The sequence below is a fragment of the Homo sapiens genome, chromosome 1, assembly GCF_000001405.40.
Source record: "Homo sapiens chromosome 1, GRCh38.p14 Primary Assembly".
Taxonomy (NCBI): domain Eukaryota; kingdom Metazoa; phylum Chordata; class Mammalia; order Primates; family Hominidae; genus Homo; species Homo sapiens.
In genome coordinates, this window is record NC_000001.11 from 221715037 (window position 1) to 221734340 (window position 19304).

Below are 19304 nucleotides of genomic sequence, written 5' to 3' on the forward strand. Positions count from 1 at the left end.
ATACTTCTACATTTTCCAGTCATTAACTTGTTTATTGGAGGGGTCTCTTGTCATTTTTCTTATATTTTCGAATATACTGTTTCCTTCCTTGTTTGATAAAACCTTTGCCATGCCCTCAATAGGAAGAATTTTAAAAAATTATTGCCCACATATTTACCTCAAAAAAGTAAACTGAGTCAGAAACATCCAATGATTTAGGAATTGTGATTTATGAAAATTGAAAATAAAGTTTAATTGGAGGCCTTCCAAGAAATGCTGACCCTGGAAAGTTTTTGTCAGAGCTTTAAAGATTCCCCTCTGCTCTCACCACCCTCCCCTCCTGGCTCAGAAGTTGCCTCAGGGCAGAATTGGTATAGAAAAGAGCTGGGGATTGGATTTCCGCCGGCTGGAGTAGCTCAGTCCACACAGAAAAGTCAGCCTCTGGTTCCTACCCCCTGAAGGGAGGTGCAGTTCTCTTGCCCCCCTCCTACCATTTCAACTTTAAGGCTTTAATGAATAACTAATGTTTGAGCTACCACAAGTTTAATTTGTGTGTATTTGAATAACACAGGCAGATTGTTTTGAGAGGATACCTCAGAAGTATGTAAATACAGCCTGTTTCTTTAAATCTGTTACCTCATTTATTTACATTAGAACAGAAAGCACTGCCAGAAGCAACAGCTGATGACAGTCATGTAATTTTCCACAAAGACAACAATTAAACAGCTTTGTGTTATTTTAATGAGCAGATGACTTTTATGTGAGCAGGATTTGAACTGTTAAGATCTCAAGAGTTCCCAGAGCCAGGAAGCCCCTCAGGTTTTGCAGAAGTCAGTGAGACTCTATGACTCTCTCTGGTTTCTTCCCCACCAGGGCCTTGGGTTTGGTCTCTATCTCTATCCCCTTTGCCCCCTTCTCCACTCTTCTCTCCCTCACCTCTCCTCCCCAACTCTTGCTCCTCTACCCTGATCCCTCCTCCCTCCCCTCCCCTCCCCTCTCCCTCTTCTCTCCCTGTCCCTGCCATCTCCCCTCTTCTACCCTTCTCTCCCTCTCCCTACACCTTCTCTGTCTCTCATAAATCCATCAGCAGTAGATGGGAAGAAAACATGAAAGAGAGACTTCTACCTGGAATACATTTTGATGCTTGAATTTCAAACGAATCCACAGAATATTTGTTAGACCTATTTTTAAAAAGTCAAAGGTGGGCTGGGAAGAGTGATTGAGCACTCATCCCTGCCAGCCAAACACACAGTAAGGCTCTGCTAGTGCAGAGAATACCATCTTTAACTCACCCTCCCCATTCTGTCTCACAAAGGTTTCAGTAAGAACCACCTGAAGACAGGTTGTGGGCATAGTTGACTTCAAGTCAGTCCCTCTGCCAGAGGGGCAGGGAAGTGCCTTCTGCTCTCCCTTAATCCTAGTCTGGAATAGAAGGGTCAGAACAGATGTTTCTGGTGGTTCCAGTTGTCCCCTCCATCCACAGACCTTCCTCCCAGCCTGTGTAGTCTCATTTTTTTTTCCACCAGAATTTTGTCTACTTCTATTGAACTCCATTCTCACTAACAAAAATGCCAACTAAAGAAAATAAGAGTAAGTATTTTTGCTTTCCAAGAAAGGATTTTGGGCTTCAATCAAGTGAATGGCTAAGAAGGGTGCCTACCAAGATCCAGTCTGGGGGTGAGGGGTCAGGGGCCGACAGAAAGACAGCCAAGTTCCAGCCCCCATGTTCCTGAAAACTTGCAAGTTCAGTTTTCTTTCTGGTACGTGTCTAAACTTTACCTATGTTAGCACAGACCAACTGGTTCCCAGGGAGAAATGCACACCATAAACACTCAGATCAAGTCTGGGATTTGTTAACAGACATGCCAGTTACATTAACACATTTTTCACTGTTATAATCTCTTGTATTTAAGATCAAACCCTCCCCAAACATTCTGGGAGTTGAGGAGGTGAGTGACACGCTGCAGAGGCCCCTTCCCTGCCCCTCCCCACTCCATCAGGAGGAAACATATGACAACCATAAACACAGATTCCAGAAGGCAGTCACAAATTAAGATAAGTCATAACGGAAGACGCTGTCCAGTTCCTGGGTGCTATGAGAGGGGACTAATTAGATTGGGGTTCATGGACAGCCTCTCTGAGGTATGAGAGGGGACGGAATCCAGGAGAACATAGGGAGGGAACACCACACTGGGAAAGGCAGGGAACTCAGGGAACCTCTGAGTGACTCAAGGGAGCCAAATGTGGGGAGGCACAATGACTGGGCAAGAGGCGGGTGAGGAGAAGGGCTAGAGGGGAAGGAAGGGAGGCAGGGACCCTCCTCACAGGGCCTCTTAGGCAGGTTTTATTCTGAGTTCAGTGGGAAGCTCCTGAGTGTTCCAAAGTCCACAACAGGTGATCAATATGTGTTTGAAAAGAAAAGAGGGGGGAGGGGAAAAGAAACAGAGAGAGAGAGAGAGAGAGAACGCACTGATTTACCAAATGGTGTAATTTACATACACTCCAAATCCTGGGCAAAATTCATACCCTTTCCTTTTCTGAATGCATTTTTTGTGGCTGCTGTGGACTGATTGTATCTCTCCTCCCCATATTCAAACACACACACAAATTCGTATGCTGAAGCCCTAATCCCCAGCGTGAGGTCATGAGGGTAGGGCTCCTGTGATGGGAGTAGTACCTTTATAAGAAGAGACAACACAGAGCTTGCTGTCTCTTTTTCTCTGCCTTGTGAGGGCACAGCAAGAAGACAGCTGTCTGCAAGCCAAGAAGAAAGGCTTCACCAGAACCCAACCATGCTGGCACCCCAATCTTGAACTTACAGCCTCCAGAACTATAAGAAAATAACTTTCTGTTGTTTAAGCTATCCAGTCTACGGCATTTGGTTAAAGCAGCCCAAATGAATATAGTGCCACTTGTAATTCCCAGTGTAGCTTACTTTTAGAAATACAACGTATAATACTTACTTTTGAAGAGCCACACTAAAACTTGTGGGCTTCCTGAGAACAAAGCCCCTGAGAGCCAACCCAACTTGGTGTCATACCTTAAAGCCAAGCCAAAAATGGTCCAAGGTCAGAATGGGGGTGGCAGGGTGGTGGGGGTGGGGGCGGGGGCTGCAGGGGGTGGGGGTGTGCTGAAAGGACCAGCATGCCTATAAAAGGCAAGCGCAGTAAGCCTTGTAGAACCTTAGTTCCATGAACCAGCTACATGCACGCACAGAAGCCCACTCCTCTCCCAAAGACACTTCCCTCCTCATTAGATATATGCCCTTTCAGATCAGCACTGGCACATGACCTCCATGTGGCATCCTTCTGGGCGGAAGAATATTTTAGCTGGAGACATTCTGCGTACTGGGGAGGCTACTCTATACCATGTTAGGGCTCCACCTTTTTTGCTCACTGGTCTCAAACTTAATACTGGTTAATCCATCAAGACGGATTAAAGGAGGGGGAAAAATCCATGAGATCATCCTGGGAAGCTGCAGAGAGAGGAATGTTAACAGGAGGAGAGTGCTATAAAACACAAAGCCATATTTCTCCCGAGAGCTCAACCAGATATTCTGCATTAAGTCTCTAAAGAATGTCTAAAAACATTCTTGCCTTTCAGTGCAGAAGTTTAAATAATGAAGCATTGCTAAACAAACAAACAGAGGAAAGCCCAGTAAAGCTATTCATTACACAAACCCACTGTACAAAAGGAAAACTATTGCTCAACCATCCACCCCGAGGACCAACATTTATCTTAGACCCCAAATTAAACACATCACAGCTTCACAGCAAAAGTATGTTTCCCAATGGGATTTAAGTAAAGTCCAATTAAATAAATCTTCAGAAATGTCACATGCGAGCCTCACAGGAGAGCATATTTCTACTGTGAAACATTCCCATTGGAAGTTACATTCACAAAAGGTCCTCTAGAAACATCCATGACAGGAGGGGTGGGGGAAAGCAGTAAGCAAGACAAAGTTACACAGGTGAAGCCTGGATAGGGTTCCATTGCTAAAATCATGTATGGAAGTGCCCAGCCAAAAATGCTGCATCTGAGTTTGCTTTGAATAAAACCCCCATGTCCAACAAACAGTATGTATAACTGTGTATTTCAGTAGGATCTGGAGGTCAAAGAGCTCTGGCTTAGGGAATTCAGGAAGTGGTAGGGGAAAGGATCAAATGTCAGCATCAAAATTTGAATTGTTTTCCTGAACCGATGTTTTCACTTCACAAAAGGCATAGCAACAACTTCCTCAAGTCACTGAGCTGGATTCTATGTTTGGTGAATATAATGAGCAAGGCTGAGTACTAAAGGATCAACTTGCAGAAAGAAAAGGCATGGGCTTTCCTTAAACATGGACTCAGCCATGTCCAATGATCACACCGTACCATGAGGGCTGAGCTTTGACAGGTCCACCTGAAGCAAGGTGAGGTCTCCATGCACTAAGAGACATACAAAATTACACTGGGTTAAAAAAAAAAGCTAGCATGTCCCTGCCTGGGTGACCACCTTCTGAGATTAGGGGGAAAACAAAACAATTAAAAACACTGCTTGTCTCTGAGGAGGTGGGCTGGAATTACATATTGTCAACATGGACTTGAGGCTAAGTGAAGGACCAGCCAAGTAATGGTCAGTTCAACCTGGGGCACGCAGAATGAAGCGCTGACCTGGGATGCATCCCGTATCTGGCACCATCAGACTTTCGACCATTTCCCCTGAAGCCATGTCTAACTTTGCACAGGGTAACAAAAGCCCTGACAGCAAGGACTCAGAGGGCAGCCCTTCCTTCCACACTAAAAAGATACTGGGTTCTAGCTCTGTGACCTCTTTTGCCACCCCTATACAATCAGGACTTAGGGTAATCTTTAAGTTTCTCCCAACTCTGGTGTTCTATAACTTCAATATAGCCTTGATAAACCATATATATGATATGATATGGTACGATATGACATGAATGAACAATGGCAAGAACAAAATCAGCTGTCAGAGGTTGTGTAAAGCCTGGGTGCTCTGCTTCCCACTTCCAGGCCTTTGCATTTGCTGTTCCCTCTTCCGCAAACTCCCTTCCTGTAGATCCTCACTGTGATACTGTGATATGAAAAAATATATATTTGATCTCTGCCCCTGGTTCCTGTAGCATAGCTTCTAAAACCCCTGGAATCTCTGAAGTTATGAGTGTTTTCTGAATGCCAATGAGATGACTAGTGGCTGGGGGCCCCTAAATAGCTCCAGGAAGGGAGCTGGTCACCAGAATTAAAACAGCTTAATTAGAGGATTGGGACATTCAGCCGCATCCCCCAACCTCCAGGGAGGAGACAGGGACTGAAGGTTGAGTTGATCACCAATGACCAATGATGTAATTAATCATGCCTATGTAATGAAGCCCCCATAAACCCCATCCATCTCCTTCATCTGACTGTCCATCTATATTCTTTGTAATATCTTTTATAATAAATGTGTAAACACATTTCCCTGAGTTCTGCGAACTGTCCTAGAAAATTAATGGGACTCAGGGAGGGGGTTGCAGAAATACTGATTTATAAACAGTGTGGGGAAGGTGGGGTAATCTTGTAGGACTGAGCCACAACTTGTGGGGTCTGAAGCTAACACCAGGTAGAGTCAAAATTAAGTTGCAAGACATTCTGCTAGTGTCTGCTGGAAGACTGCTCTGTGTGTAGGGGGCATAAATCCACAGAGGTGTTCCGAAAGTATGGTAGGATAAAAATTTATTTTTCTTTAGACTCACATAGATGATTCAGACCTCAGACCAGATGTGTTCTCAGAAAAGTCTTCCCTGACATTCAATTTACAGCTACCCTTCCAAATCTCTTTTATCATATCATGAAGTTTTTAAGAGTTTCATTGTCTTCAGAACACTTATCGCTATCTGAAGTTACCTATTTATTTCTTCCCTGTTTATTGTTCTTATTAAAGTGTGGACCCCAAGAAAGTCAAGATGTTCTTTCTCTTAGAGGAAATAGAGTGTAATGGTTTGGTGCACTAGGGCCAGACTGTCTCCACAACTTTCCAGTATGATATTGACAAAGCTGTTTCACCTCTTTGTACCCTGAAATGGAGCTAATAATAGTCCTAACAGGCAACAATAGTTATTGCAAGAATTAAATCAGCTACTACATTGTAGTTATTAATAGAAATTCTAAGTATTCACTGTTTAGCATCTGAATTGTATATAGTAAGTGCTCATTAAATATTTTTAGATTCATTGAACACTGGAATGAGATGAGATAGGACCAGTTTATTGTAAAGCATCTATTATATGCTGTTCAGCATTATGCTATGGATTTGCGAGATTTGATTGAAAAAAATAGTCCCCAAAGAGAAATCTAATGAGGGAAAGGAGGAAGGAACTTTAGGGAAATTCAGTGACAGGACTGGAAGAAGAAACATTTTCAGAACACACTGAAGATTGAGCTGAACAATGCCATCCAGCTGTAACTCACACAGTCAGGTGCAGGACTCGCCAGGTGAATTCAGCACAAGGATTTAGAAATCCTGGCATTCCAAGGCTGGGAAGGAGGGCTGAGTACACTTATGAGGAAGAGGCAATTTACAGGGGTGCTGGGCCTCCCTTAAATGTGACAAATGGGCACCTTCCAGGGAGGGCTGAAATCCAAGGCAAATCACACTTGGTGGCCTCTTACCCCTTTCTCCTCTCTCCTCGCCCCTACTTCTTGGACATTCTATATGAGTGATGAATGGTAGAGATGCATGGAAGGTAGTCATGAAAGGGAAAAGAAGGCTCAGGAGGGAAACTCACCCTGAGGGATGTCACTGAGCAGCAGGAGGGGCCCTCAATTCAGTTTAATATACATTTATTAAGCACTAAATATGAAATGGGGGCACAGTGCTCAGTATAGGGTATACACAAGCTAAGATCTAGGTGGGCCCTCTCAAGAGCTTGCTGACCCTCTCACTTAGATGTGGTAAGCAGTAACAGATGATTCTGACAGTATCTTCACCAACCCCGGGTGGCCCTGTTTCTTCTATCTCCTTTTGAAGGGATACAACACTGGATCTGAAATCAGTAATTTGGAGTTCCTCTTATCCCTCTTAATAACTGTGCACCTTTGGGCAAGTTACTTGAACTTAAGACCATGTGAAACCACACGATCATATCATAAGAGCTATTTCTTCAAACACAGGAGTTCTCTCTTTTCTAAAAATAAGGGCTGTTACAGCCCTAGATCTCTCAAAGAGCAATAGCACGCTATAACGCTCTTGAAAGGTAGAAAAAGGGCCTTGAAGCCTCTGGTATTCTGGAAGGTGAGATGCTCAGGGACTGTGTGAGAAGTGAATGCCTCATGTTCTGTACCTCTTCAGTTGGTTCTGATGAATTTGCTCTCCCCCTCTCAGAAACTGGGACTGAGACTTCCACAGTCAATGAGTGGCAGAGAACACTGCCTCATAGTTATCTGGTGTGAACTGTCCCTAGTCTTAAAGCTGAACACCTCTGAAGAGCAGGCCTGGTGTGGTGGCAGATGAAAAGTGCCCAGGGCTGGCCCATGTTAGGAAAAAACAAGTCATATTGATTTCTTTTTGAAAGAGGCTTCTTTTATACATTCCAAAATCTTGTTTTATTCCTAGTTTTCACTGGTGACGGAAACTTTCTCCCAATAACTGCAGAGTTTATGTTGGACTTTTCTTAGAAATCTGCATTCTAAGGTGGCCCCAAGAGATACTCATAGGAGTCAACTTTCTAGGAGCTGGTGACCTAAGAGGGCCTTGCAGAACATGGGCCAGGCCTGAGCAGGAAACAGAAGAGTAGTGGATACCAGGACCACAGACAAGAGGCAGTGTCTATTTTAAGCAGGGATGAAGAAACTAAACCAAAATAAATAAAACACATGGATCTTGGCTTAAAAATCCAAACAAAAGCCCCAAAAGAAAAAGCAACAATTGAGCTAAATACCTTGTTTATGAAATGTAATAGGACATACCACAAAAGCGTAATTCCAGACAAGGCAAATGATTAAAAAACACAACAAAAAATCGAAATACTCCTTACCCATAGTATCACCCTGTGTCAGCTTCCCATGAACATCTCAATCCCAAAACCAATACTTAAGAATCCCTGGTGTCAAAGAGGGGCCAACACATATGTTTGTCACCACCGCTAACATGATGCCAACTGGGAGATGAAATAGGCCCCAGAGATTACAGCCTGAAGGGTTTTGAGTATGAAGGTCTCAGAGGCCTGCCTGCCTCCCAACTGATCCTAGTGGTCAAAAGCAGTTGCTCAAAGATTGAGTCATTTTCCAAGTCTAGAATGCAAATGGCCATTGTCACCAAGGAAATGGTGTTACAGAGATAAGCAAGTTAAGCTGCAGCACTTAGCTCTCTCAGCTGCTGTTCTCCTAATACATACATCCAAATAAAAGGCAGTCTATTCTTGCAATACTGCAATATAATTCTGAAACTGACTAAGCAGAGTCAGTGCAGACTCCCCAAGTTAAGGCCACAGTCTCAAATAAGAATGCCTTCACTTCCAGATGCTAGCCACAGGTTCAGGGGTTCCCAGGCCACCCACACTTCTAGCCAACTGGTTATAAATTCTGTGGCTTCTACAATGCTTCAGGCTTGATAATTCACTAGAATGACTCACAGAACACAAGCCCTATCTTTATGATGATAGTTTTTATTATAAAAGCTACAAATCAGGAAGAGCCAGATAAAGACACATACAGGGCAATATCTGGGAGGGTCCTGCATATGGAGCTTCTAGGCCCTCTCCTTGTGCAATCAGGACACATTGCCCTGCTGACACAGCAATGTGTTCACTAGGAAGTTTAACTGAGCTTTGGTGTCCAGAGTTTTTATTGGGTTCCATTACTTAGGCATAATTAAATTATTGGCCTTGTGATTGAACTCAATCTTCAGTCCCACTCTCTTCTGCTGAAGAAGATGAACTAATACAAAGCCCTGACCTTCTAATCATGTGGATGTCTTTCTGATGATAAACTCTTATCCTGAGTCATCGCATTAACATAAACACAGGTGTGATCCAAGGGGCTCATCATGCATAACAAAGACACTCCTAACACTCGGGGAGTTCCAAGGGTTTAGAAATTATTTCCCAGGAACTGAGGACAACGGCCAGACAAATTCTCTATTATACAACAGTTTCTTAGTGATGAAGGGTGTGGGCTCTGGAGTCAGGCAGGTCTGAATTTGGCATTGTGCTGTGAGACCTTGGGCAACTTACCTAACCTCTCTCAGCCTCAATTGCCTCATCTAAAAAGTGGGGATAATAATACTGTTATTACCACATTGAGATCGGCAACATTTGATAGACATGGAATTCAGGCTACTATAATAACAAGCATTTTTTTTTTCTAGTAGCTGCATTCAAGAAAGTAAAAACAAACAGGTAAAATATTGCTAATATATTTTTCTTAACATGTGCAAATATCATTTCAAGAGTCAATATTAAAACAATTACTAATGAAATATTTTACATTATTTTCTATATAAAGTCTTGAAATCTGGTATATATTTTACACCTACAGCACATCTCTGTTTGGACTGGCCCCATTTCAAGTGCTCAATGGCCACGTTTGGCTTGCAGCAAGGCTACTATATTGGACGCTGCAGATAGATTTAATACTATTGCTATCCCCATTAAATGAGTTAATGCTCAGTGTCATAATTGTTCCCATTCTACAAATGTTAACTAAAATATGTGTTTGTTTGCATGTGAATGTGTGTGCATGCACATGGAGGGGTAGTGACCAATGACTAAAATCTACGGTGCTATAAGCCACACTACACCAGGAAGTCATTCGGCTCCCATGGAACATCAAATAGCCACTCTATTTTCAGGAAAAGAAACACTTCAACTTGGAGAAGAGAGGCTCTCTGATCGATTAACTACAGCATGCTCTTTTATTTCAGCACTCCAACATCTCCCAGTGCACGTTTTAATATGAGCCAAATCAAGTAGCCACGACAATAGCTTTGAATGAGAAAAGACACCCCAAAAGCAGTGCGCAGATACATGGGGATGCCTGAAGGAGCTCAGAATGGCTTAAGGAGTAGGGGGAAGAAAAACTGCAGAGAGGAGCTTTGACTCACTGAGTCATTGAGCAACTGTTCTGTGCCCTCTCAGGCTACTTCCCACAGCCACCGCCCAGCCAACAGCTAGCTGCACCCAGCCAATCACTCACTCCACTCCCTGGAAAAAGCTCCACATTGGGAAGCCAGAAGAATGTCACTAGCAAGAGATTGATTTCAAGGTAATTATTTAGGCAACTTTGTAGCATCTCATTCTCAGGCCTAAAAGTGTTCTCAAAGTTTGTTTTAATAAATGCATGTATTAATATGAAGTCTCTGTGTCTTTTAATAATGATATACCACATTCAGCTCCTCCCAATCTTTGTAAGAGAGGGCTTCCTGGACTCCATAACCACAGCATTCCTCCAGCTCTTTCTATTCACTGGAGCAGAAATGGGGCTTTCTAGCCATCCTCAAGGTAGGAATTAAGAGATTCACCTAGTAAGTGTACATGAATAGATTTTTACATAATATGCAAAATTAATTATAATATACTCAACCAATTCACATATTTTATCAAGGAAGACAAGCTAATTATCTGTCAAAGAATTATCTCCTATTTAAAGGGCACTTTACCTCAATTTGGCAAAATGAACTAATGGGAATTATCTTTCCATTCTGATGTGTTTTTGCTGCCTGTGTTTGCTTAAGCCCCTAGAAGACTTCAGCACTGCACTAAAACCTCAGGATTTAGAAAAGTTGAGAGGAAGGGAGACACAAACACATCTACTCAGCATCTCACTAAATCTACCTCTTGCTGCTTTTATTGTCCCTTTCAGAGTGTTTTATCTACAGTGTAAAACTGGGAGTGACTCATATTTATGAAATAAGGAGCCGTTGTTAGCCTTGCCAGATCATTCACTTCCACAATAGCTTCTGATTTTTAATAGCGCTGAGTGGTGCTTCCTCATGTCCTCACTCTATCCACCAAAGAGGTCCAAGATCTGCAATATGTGCCTTACAGGACATGTGGTAAACACACACATTCAGGATCAGTATCAAGACCTGTGGTCAAGGATAAAGATGTCCCTAAAAACTCACAACTTTGATAGGTATTTGGATCTTACACTCAGGAAAGAAAAGCAGAAGTTAAAAAGTGAAAGAGAATTGGGGGGAAAAATAAACTCAAACTGGCAACTAGCACCCAAAATGGCAGCTAGTACCCATTTCTCTAAATGGGGAGTGCAGTTGGGTGGGAAGGTGGAGAAAATTCCAAACAAGGGTTTCCTTCAAGAGGTTTCTCTTGTCATACCAAAACCTTGGAAACAATCTTAATTTATATTAATAGGCAAGTAAGTAAAATGTGGTAATAAGACAGGTTACAGCATTAAAGAAGAAAATCTATGATCACAACACAGGAAGCAAAAGTACATGCAATATAAAGTGAAAATGAATTTCAGTTACTATGTGAGAAACCCTGAAAAACATGCACATATATGGGTAGAGAACAAAAAGAAATGTAAAAATGAAACTAGGCCAGTCAGGGCGGGATTAGTAATATTATGTTTTTCTTTCTAAAATGTTCTTAATATCTTAACAATAAGTATACATAAAGTGTTTCTGCTAAGACTTTTATAAGATTTCCTTACATAGAAATAGCATATAATTTTTCAGCACAGCACTATTTCAGGAAAAAAAAAAAAAAAAACCCTATGTAGTTATCTATCCACCCCAAAAGAAACACTGGGTTTTTCCAAACTTTTAAACAAAAAGATCTACCAAGCATCAGAAAAGTATCTCCTACTTGTACTGCATTAGTGGTGACATCAAAGCATTTTACTGAACTATACCACTCATATATCAGTTGAATATAAGCAGATTATGAATTATTATTGTAGAGATTCAATATTATAATTATGGTTGATTTTCAATAAATGTTAGCTAGTATGCATTCGTTATTGTTCAAAGCACTTCTACATATGTTATCTAATTCTCAATTGAGCCCATGAGAAAAGAGCCATTACCCTCCCCATTTTATAGACAAGCAAACAGAGGCACAGAAAAGTGAATTTGTCCAAAATTATAATAATTGGCAAAATCAGAATTCAAACTCAGCAGCCTGGTTCCAGAATCTGTGCCCTTAACCTCCAAACTATACTCCCTTCGCAAGAAAATATATAAACTGAATACAAATATAAGGGAGCATCAGCCGGCTCATTCAATTAGTCACTATATACGCTCCTAAGAAAGGTAATGAGAAAAATTATGGAATGACCTGGCTGAATACTTGAACCCACAAGATTTGCTTATTTAACAACAACTCAGATACTAATCCAAAGGATTATATACTGGTTGGGCTTCTAAACACCCTAAACTGAGAGTTAGGAAACATGAATCCTATGCCAGTACTGCTAATAGCTATTTATATCCTCCTGGATAAGTAATCAGTTTCTATGTCTGTAAAATGGGATGGTTAGATCAAATGCTTGATAACATCTCTCACAATTCTGTAACACCATGTTCTTTGAAAAATGTCTTTCCTTTCTAATTCAACATAGAGTAAGTGAATGCTTGCTGTGCAATGGACTATAATTCTGTGGTTTTTCAACATTTCTAAAGTCATCCTGGGGTTGTTGTGGTTCAGAAAACTTACCTTGCCATGTAAATGTGAGAACTTATGATCAGTGAAGTTAATCTCCTTGAATTTATTTTAAGCTTTCTTAAAATTGATTACTTTTATATTTCAGAATAAAAAATGCTCAGATTTTTAAATTTTGTTCTCCATTCACTAATTCTACTGCCTTGATCACCCATGTCCCCCTCCCTTCCCCTCTCACTGGAGGACCTGAGTGTTTGGGGTGACCTTACTGCTATGGTTTGAATATGTCCCCCAAAGTTCATGTATTGGAAACTTAATTGTCACTGTAGCAGTATTAAAAGATGGGGCCTTTAAGAGGAGATTAGGTCATGAGGGCTCCACTCTCAAGAGTGGATTAAGACCATAATTGCATGGCCATTCCATGGAGTGGATCATCACAGGGGTGGGTCCTAATAAAAAGGATGAACTCTTAGCCTCCATTTTCTCACTGTCTTACACACTTGCTCATCATGTGATACCCTCCACCATGGGCTGACCTTGCCAGATGTTGGCACCCTGCTCTTGCACTTCACAGCTTCCAGAACCATAAGCCAAATAACCTATGGTTCTTTGTAAATTACTCAATCTCAGGTATTCTGTTTTAGCAGCATAAAATGAACTTTGTGACGAAATCTTATAGTTGATATCTGAGAGGACAGTCACATACTTTCACTGTGTGAAGCTGGGTGCTCTGTCAGAAGACAGATTCTGCCTCTATGAATGCTGCCCCTAACACAGGATTCCAAGGAGTCCATCCTGCTGTCCTTCAAATGTGTTCATTATTATTTTTCCCAGGGTCTGTCCTTGCCACACCTCCAGATTACCTGAGCTATATTTGTAGGCTTAGACTGTAGAAGGGAAGAACAGAGATAAGAAAGATTAGGAAAGGAGAGGAGAGAAACTAAACAGTAAATGGTTTGATAGGATCTGTTCACTTATCCCTGATAACTAACCTTCCCAAAGGGCAATCATAACCTACTAGAGATTCTTTCTTCACCTACTTGAGGGAAAACAATCTATAGTTTTCATTATCATCCACACTAATAGGACAGATAATGAATATAAAGCATAAACAATCAAATACCTTTGGCATTAGAGTCTTTAGGATGTAGTCATCATACTCGTCACAGATTCTTTCTTGTTCTTTTTACCTAACTTTGTACTTGTACTTTTCTTTACCTTTGTTCATCTACTTCCTACTCCAGAAAGTGGGTTTATTAATGTGTGCAAAAGCAGGAAATATCATCCTTCTATCCACAGGCTACTAGGAGAATGAATTCTAAGGTTCCAGATATCAAAAGCAAACTGAGCAGAAGTATACCAGAGCTACACCCAGGATCCACTAGGCACCAGCTGAGTAACACTGGACAAGTGCCTGAACCTCTCCGAGTTTCAGTCCCTCGTATGTAAATTGGAAAGGGATCATGAGACATAACACTTGTGGCATAGAGTCTGGCATGTAAGAAATACTTCATATATGTTAGAATTATCACAGTTTTCAAAAGTTTGTTTTGCTCAAATTTTTATTCCTTAAAAAACTGTCATGACCAAAATTTAAAGTATCCAAAAGCTGGGATATAATTTGAGGCAAGGTTACTGGGAAGCCAGTCTACTCTAAGGACACAGAATAGGCTACTCACCTTAGCAATGGAATTTTTATTTGAGGATATACAAGAAAAATGGGGAAAGGAAGATGGCATTATAACTAAGGCACCACAGAGGTAAAGCACAACTAAAGCCACCATAAGGAATGAGACTTGCAAATAGATATGGCCAGCCTGAAAAGAATTTGGGCTTTGAAATCATAAGAACTGGATTTCAATCCTTATTCTCTCATTTACTAGTTAATAACAAGGGAGAAAATATTTAATCTGTTCCTCAGATTCCTGAGCTATAAAAGTCAGGATATAAAATGACGTTCACAGAGCTTCTCTGAGAACTAAATAAGACACATATATGACAGCCCAATGCCCAGCATCTAGAAAGCATTCAATAGCTTTTAACTTGTTTTTCTTCCAAACTATCTGGAAAATAATTTTCTAATTTCAGGGATGATAGGTTGGTCACAGAGCCAGAGTAGTTCTATGTGATTAACTGATGTTCTGCTGGCAGATTAAAATATCACCTCATGAGAACCATAAGACCCGTTCCTTTAAAGTCTTATCATAAAAACATAGCATTTTAATAAAAATAGAAATTAAAAGAAACAATAGAAAATGTCCTCTATCTCTTCAGGGAAGGCCCTCTTAGAAGTTTGTGTCTAGTCTTATTCTTTTAAGACAGGAAGAAACACTGTAATGATTGAAGAAAATGACTCACAGTCTTCAATACTGGAGCCCAGAACTCAGGTCTGGGAGCTAGAAGATATGTTGCTGTCACCCTAAGACCCTCAACCCTCATGTTATTCTTTTCTGTCCACTCCCCCACCCCTCCTCTTTCTCCTTTCAATTTGTTTTTTGCTTCTCTCTTGCCAGTAGCAACAGCTGGTAATATTTAGCTCAATGGTAGTGAAGCTCAGGGCTGTGATACAAAGAATGTGAGATTATTTCTTCCATAAAATAAATATAAGATATTAAGGAACCGGATAGTGATGTTCTGATGCAAAACGGTGACTGCCTCCTTACCTCAGGACACAAAATAAGATCAGTCGAGTTCGCATTATAACACGAGAGGTTTAAGCTCCTCAAAGGGAGGACAGGCCTGATGCGACCCCCTGGCTCGGGCAGTTTAATCTGTTTACTTGATGTGTGCAATGGACAACAGATGCCTGATGGTGGTCCATTCTGAAGTGGTAAGGCAAGAAAGCAAAATCCCGTTGTGGAAGCACTCAGGAAGAGTTGCGCTTTGTTTTGTGTTCTATGAAATTCAAGTCGGGGGCCAGGGTTGGGGGCGGTGGCCTGAGTAGGCCTTTACCACACATAAAACATTAAGGGCAATGCAGATAATTTGATGCATCCACAAATCCTTTTCTTTCTGTAAGTGATTCTCTACTTTGCCAGATTCAGAGAATAGGTAAGAGCCTTTATCTTATATGAAAGTACTAGGCCTGCACAGCTCATTTCCTTATCCAAAAACATACGCTCAAAGTTTCTTTTCTTTACTTTTAAGTTACATAAAATATGGGTCTTGCTCGGGTGGGGGACTGGAATGAAAAAAAATTACATATATCTATAACTCTCTATATATCTATATATCTATATGTAACTCCAACTTTTAAGTAATAATAGATGATATAGACATAACCTGGAAAAAACTGATGCCAAGATCTTGCTCTTGGGTTATGGATGAAAACATCTAAAGAATCAAAGACTTCATAATTAAAAGATTACATCAATTTTAATATAAAATGTATATTTTTAAATCTTTTATAATGAAATTCAGGCTACAGGTCATACTCATTTTCTCTTCCTATATTTTTCTGAATGAGTATGATTACATTCGTGAATATAGAGTCTACAGTATATATAATAGAAACATAATCAATGAAAATTTGTTGATGAGGGATTCAAATCTTCCTCGAAGGGGATTTAGGGGAAATAACGCAGGCTTCGTAATCTTAGAGACAGGTTTTCATCCCACCCCTGTCCCTTATACTGGTTTTTAATTGTACTTGCAAACATTTTATTTTTTTAAAGCAGGCCAAAACCTTGCCTCTGAAATATTGTTTACAATGCTTGTTTGCTTAGCACATCCTCTTTCCATAGAGAGCATGCAGTGAAAATAAACGAAGCCCTTATTCCTATCATCAACATGTACAAAATTAGGGGGTCCAAATTACAAAGTTTCACTCTCCCACACAGAGGAGACTTGTCAGCCCTGAGCTTTTGAGGCACAGAGGGCATATATATTTATTTTTTCATTAAAAACCAATGAATCATTTCTTTTCAGATCAAGACATTGGAAAGAAATCCTATTGGCCCATGACATATTTAGAAAAGGCTAGGCTATTTCTTTTTTTTTTTTTTTTTTTTTCTTTTTTTGCGACAGAGTCTCACTGTCGCCAGGCTGGAGTGCAGTGGCGGGATCTCGGCTCACTCCAACCTCCACCTCCCGGGTTCAAGCAATTCTCCTGCCTCAGCCTCCCGAGTAGCTGGGACTACAGGTGTGCACCACCATGCCCAGCTAATTTTTGTATTTTTAGTAGAGACGGGGTTTCACCATGTTGGCCAGGATGGTCTCAATCTCTTGACCTCATGATCCATCTGCCTCGGCCTCCCAAAGTGCTGGGATTACAGGCATGAGCCACCACACCCGGCTGGCTATTTCTTAAAAAAGAAAAAGAAAAAAAAAGTACAAACATGTGCTTCACAGGAGAACAAAATTTCGTGAAGATGAAACACTCCCTAAATAAGATTGTGTGGCAGAAGAAGATGAAGAATAGAAACATGAACACAATTTCCAAGATGGAAAGGATCTGGAAGACTGGTCCCATCCATATATGTTGTCTTTCTTGCATTTGAATGATAAGCATTGTGATGCAGATTGCCCAGCCTGCAGATTAGTGCCTAGCACACCAAAGGCATTCAACAATATTTATTGAACAAACAAATGAATCTCCTCTGCCCACAAGTTTGTACAGCTGTGGAGACCACCTACCAAAAAGTCCCTAGAAGCCTAAGATGGTTGGGCTTCTTTGATACCTGTTTTGATAGCTGTTAACAGCTGAAACCACTAGGTTAACAGCTTAAACCACTAGGTTCCCCAGATGAAGAGATTAAATCAACATTAATATTTGGTCCATATTCTAATATCCAGGTAAATATATAGACCATGAACTGCTGGTTTTGAAAGTCCTCAGACTTTGGTCTTTTTAGTTCTGAACTGAAATCTCAAAATTCAAGAAAAAAGGCATCAGTACTCAAAAAATCTTATATTTTATGCTATATATTAGATTCTGTTGTTATTAAATAATGATACATACGAATACCTCAGTCTGTTGATATCTATTGAATCTGTTGAACCTGGCAAGACCTACTTTAACATTAAGGACTAAATCTCTAAAATTAATCATGCATGTGACCTTGGACAAGCCCCATTCCTGTAGTGGCATAATGAGAATACCGGACTAGATCAATGGTTCTCAAACTTTGCTGCCTGTTAGAATCACTTTGGGAGCTTTAAAAAAATCTTGATGTGCAGGCTGCACCCCAGACCAATTTAATCAGGCTTTCTGGACACACGAACTGGGCATCATAGGTTATAAATCACCTTCAGGTGATACCAATGAACAGCCTGCAGTGAAAACTACTGGATTAGGGGCCCTCTAAAGTTCCTTGCTCTTCTCAAAGCTGGGATTCTTTAGTTCCAAAAAGGTGAGATGACCTCTCCTGGAACTAGAATTTCTCTCCTTAATATGTAGTCTATCTTTTTCAACCAACTTGGATTAAACTGCCTAAGCACTCCGATATATCACACATTCATGCCCAAACTGCTCTTCAGCAATGCTGGGGCTTGGAGGTTCTGGCTTCTGATAATGCAGGGTTTAAGGAACTAGATTTTTGCTACTGGTCAAAAGCTCCCACTTAGTCCCTGAGGGTGTATGCACCAGGAGTATGTGACGGAAAGTTTTTCTGCTCCTGTAATTTTGTCAGACCTTCAGATGGGTTTGCCTAAAGGACCAAGTAGAAAAGTGTACATATTCACCATTCTCCCTTCTCCTTTCTCCTATACACACGTGCTTTGAAAACAGAAATAGGCAAAGTGCTTTACCTATTCAGTTTCCTTCCCCTGCTTTGCTTTTCTAATGTGAAATCATGTCTCCTATTGCCAGGAGAGGAGTTTCTTGAACTTGTCCATGACAAGCTGGATGATTAAGTTAATTAACTGTTCTGAATTGGTAAGGGCAAGAGTATTCATACTTAACAGGCTCCCACAGTACTGTGCTTAGAACGACTTGCCCATCCTCCCCAATACCCCTGCCCCTGCAATGTAAGAGGTTCTTACATTAGTGCATGAGAGTAGGAGAGCAGGGTCCAGAGGCTTGATTTATTGACAGCCATCAAATGCCAGGTACTTTGTATCACCTTGTTTCAACCTAGGATGCTGGAGCTGTCCCTGTTTTACAATGAAGAAAACCTGGCCTCTGAGAGGCCCCCTGATTTGCCTAAAGGCATACAGTTGGTCAATGGAAATGCCTAGATTTGAACCCAGGTGTAAGTGAGCAAAATTTCACTCTGCTGAGCACATCGTGAATGAGGAACAGATAAAGCAAGAACATGGCTGGGAGAGAGAGTTCATTTCTATTATCTGTTCACCTACACTTAAATTAGGAAGCAGGAGAGTGTACCCAAAAGCTCAGAGAGAGGACAGCCAACTAACTGTGCAGCAGTTCAGAAAGAAGTTTCAGGACTTCCTGAAAGACAGGAGCAGGCCATTCAACTCCTTCCCTCCTTTTTCCTTCACATTCTAACTCAACACAACCCTAGGCTCAGGAACCAGCGCACCCCTCCTTCCATCTACCCTTTTATAGTCAGTCCACAATCCTTATTCCAAAAATAAATCCTCCTGATGAGATGATGAGAGGCAACAAAAAGCAAAGCTAAAAAGTTTTATGCTTTTGTTATGGGACATTATTTGGACAGAATTATTATCATGTTTTTACAAATTTCCCTAAAACAAATAATTCTGGATATACCCAAATTACTCCAGCCTCCTGGCCCAATATGTTTTTGCAATTACTTGGCACTCCAAC

At 41.0% G+C, this 19304-nt stretch overlaps 1 protein-coding gene across 3 annotated transcripts in view, besides 4 other annotated features; it reads right to left on the minus strand.

The window, feature by feature from the left end:
* The window catches only part of DUSP10 (dual specificity phosphatase 10), a 40666-nt gene that overhangs the window by 13613 nt on the left and 7749 nt on the right, over nucleotides 1-19304 (minus strand). The window lies entirely within an intron of this gene.
* Nucleotides 453-982: an enhancer, noted in NCBI's record as "OCT4-NANOG-H3K27ac hESC enhancer chr1:221888831-221889360 (GRCh37/hg19 assembly coordinates)". NCBI's record gives its function as "activates a minimal SCP1, AML or CMV promoter by ChIP-STARR-seq in naive H9 embryonic stem cells {active_cell/tissue: H9 hESC(naive)}" and the evidence as "EXISTENCE:reporter gene assay evidence [ECO:0000049][PMID:30033119]".
* Nucleotides 555-699: an enhancer, noted in NCBI's record as "145 bp enhancer 201 fragment used in the MPRA reporter construct; PK_construct_1021". NCBI's record gives its function as "activates an SV40 promoter by MPRA in HepG2 cells {active_cell/tissue: HepG2}" and the evidence as "EXISTENCE:reporter gene assay evidence [ECO:0000049][PMID:23512712]".
* Nucleotides 622-633: a transcriptional cis regulatory region, noted in NCBI's record as "FOXA motif; enhancer activity is reduced when this motif is scrambled". NCBI's record gives its function as "necessary for full MPRA enhancer 201 activity {active_cell/tissue: HepG2}" and the evidence as "EXISTENCE:site-directed mutagenesis evidence [ECO:0005528][PMID:23512712]".
* Nucleotides 11488-11557: an enhancer, noted in NCBI's record as "active region_2561". NCBI's record gives its function as "activates an Ori minimal core promoter by ATAC-STARR-seq in GM12878 lymphoblastoid cells {active_cell/tissue: GM12878}" and the evidence as "EXISTENCE:reporter gene assay evidence [ECO:0000049][PMID:35858748]".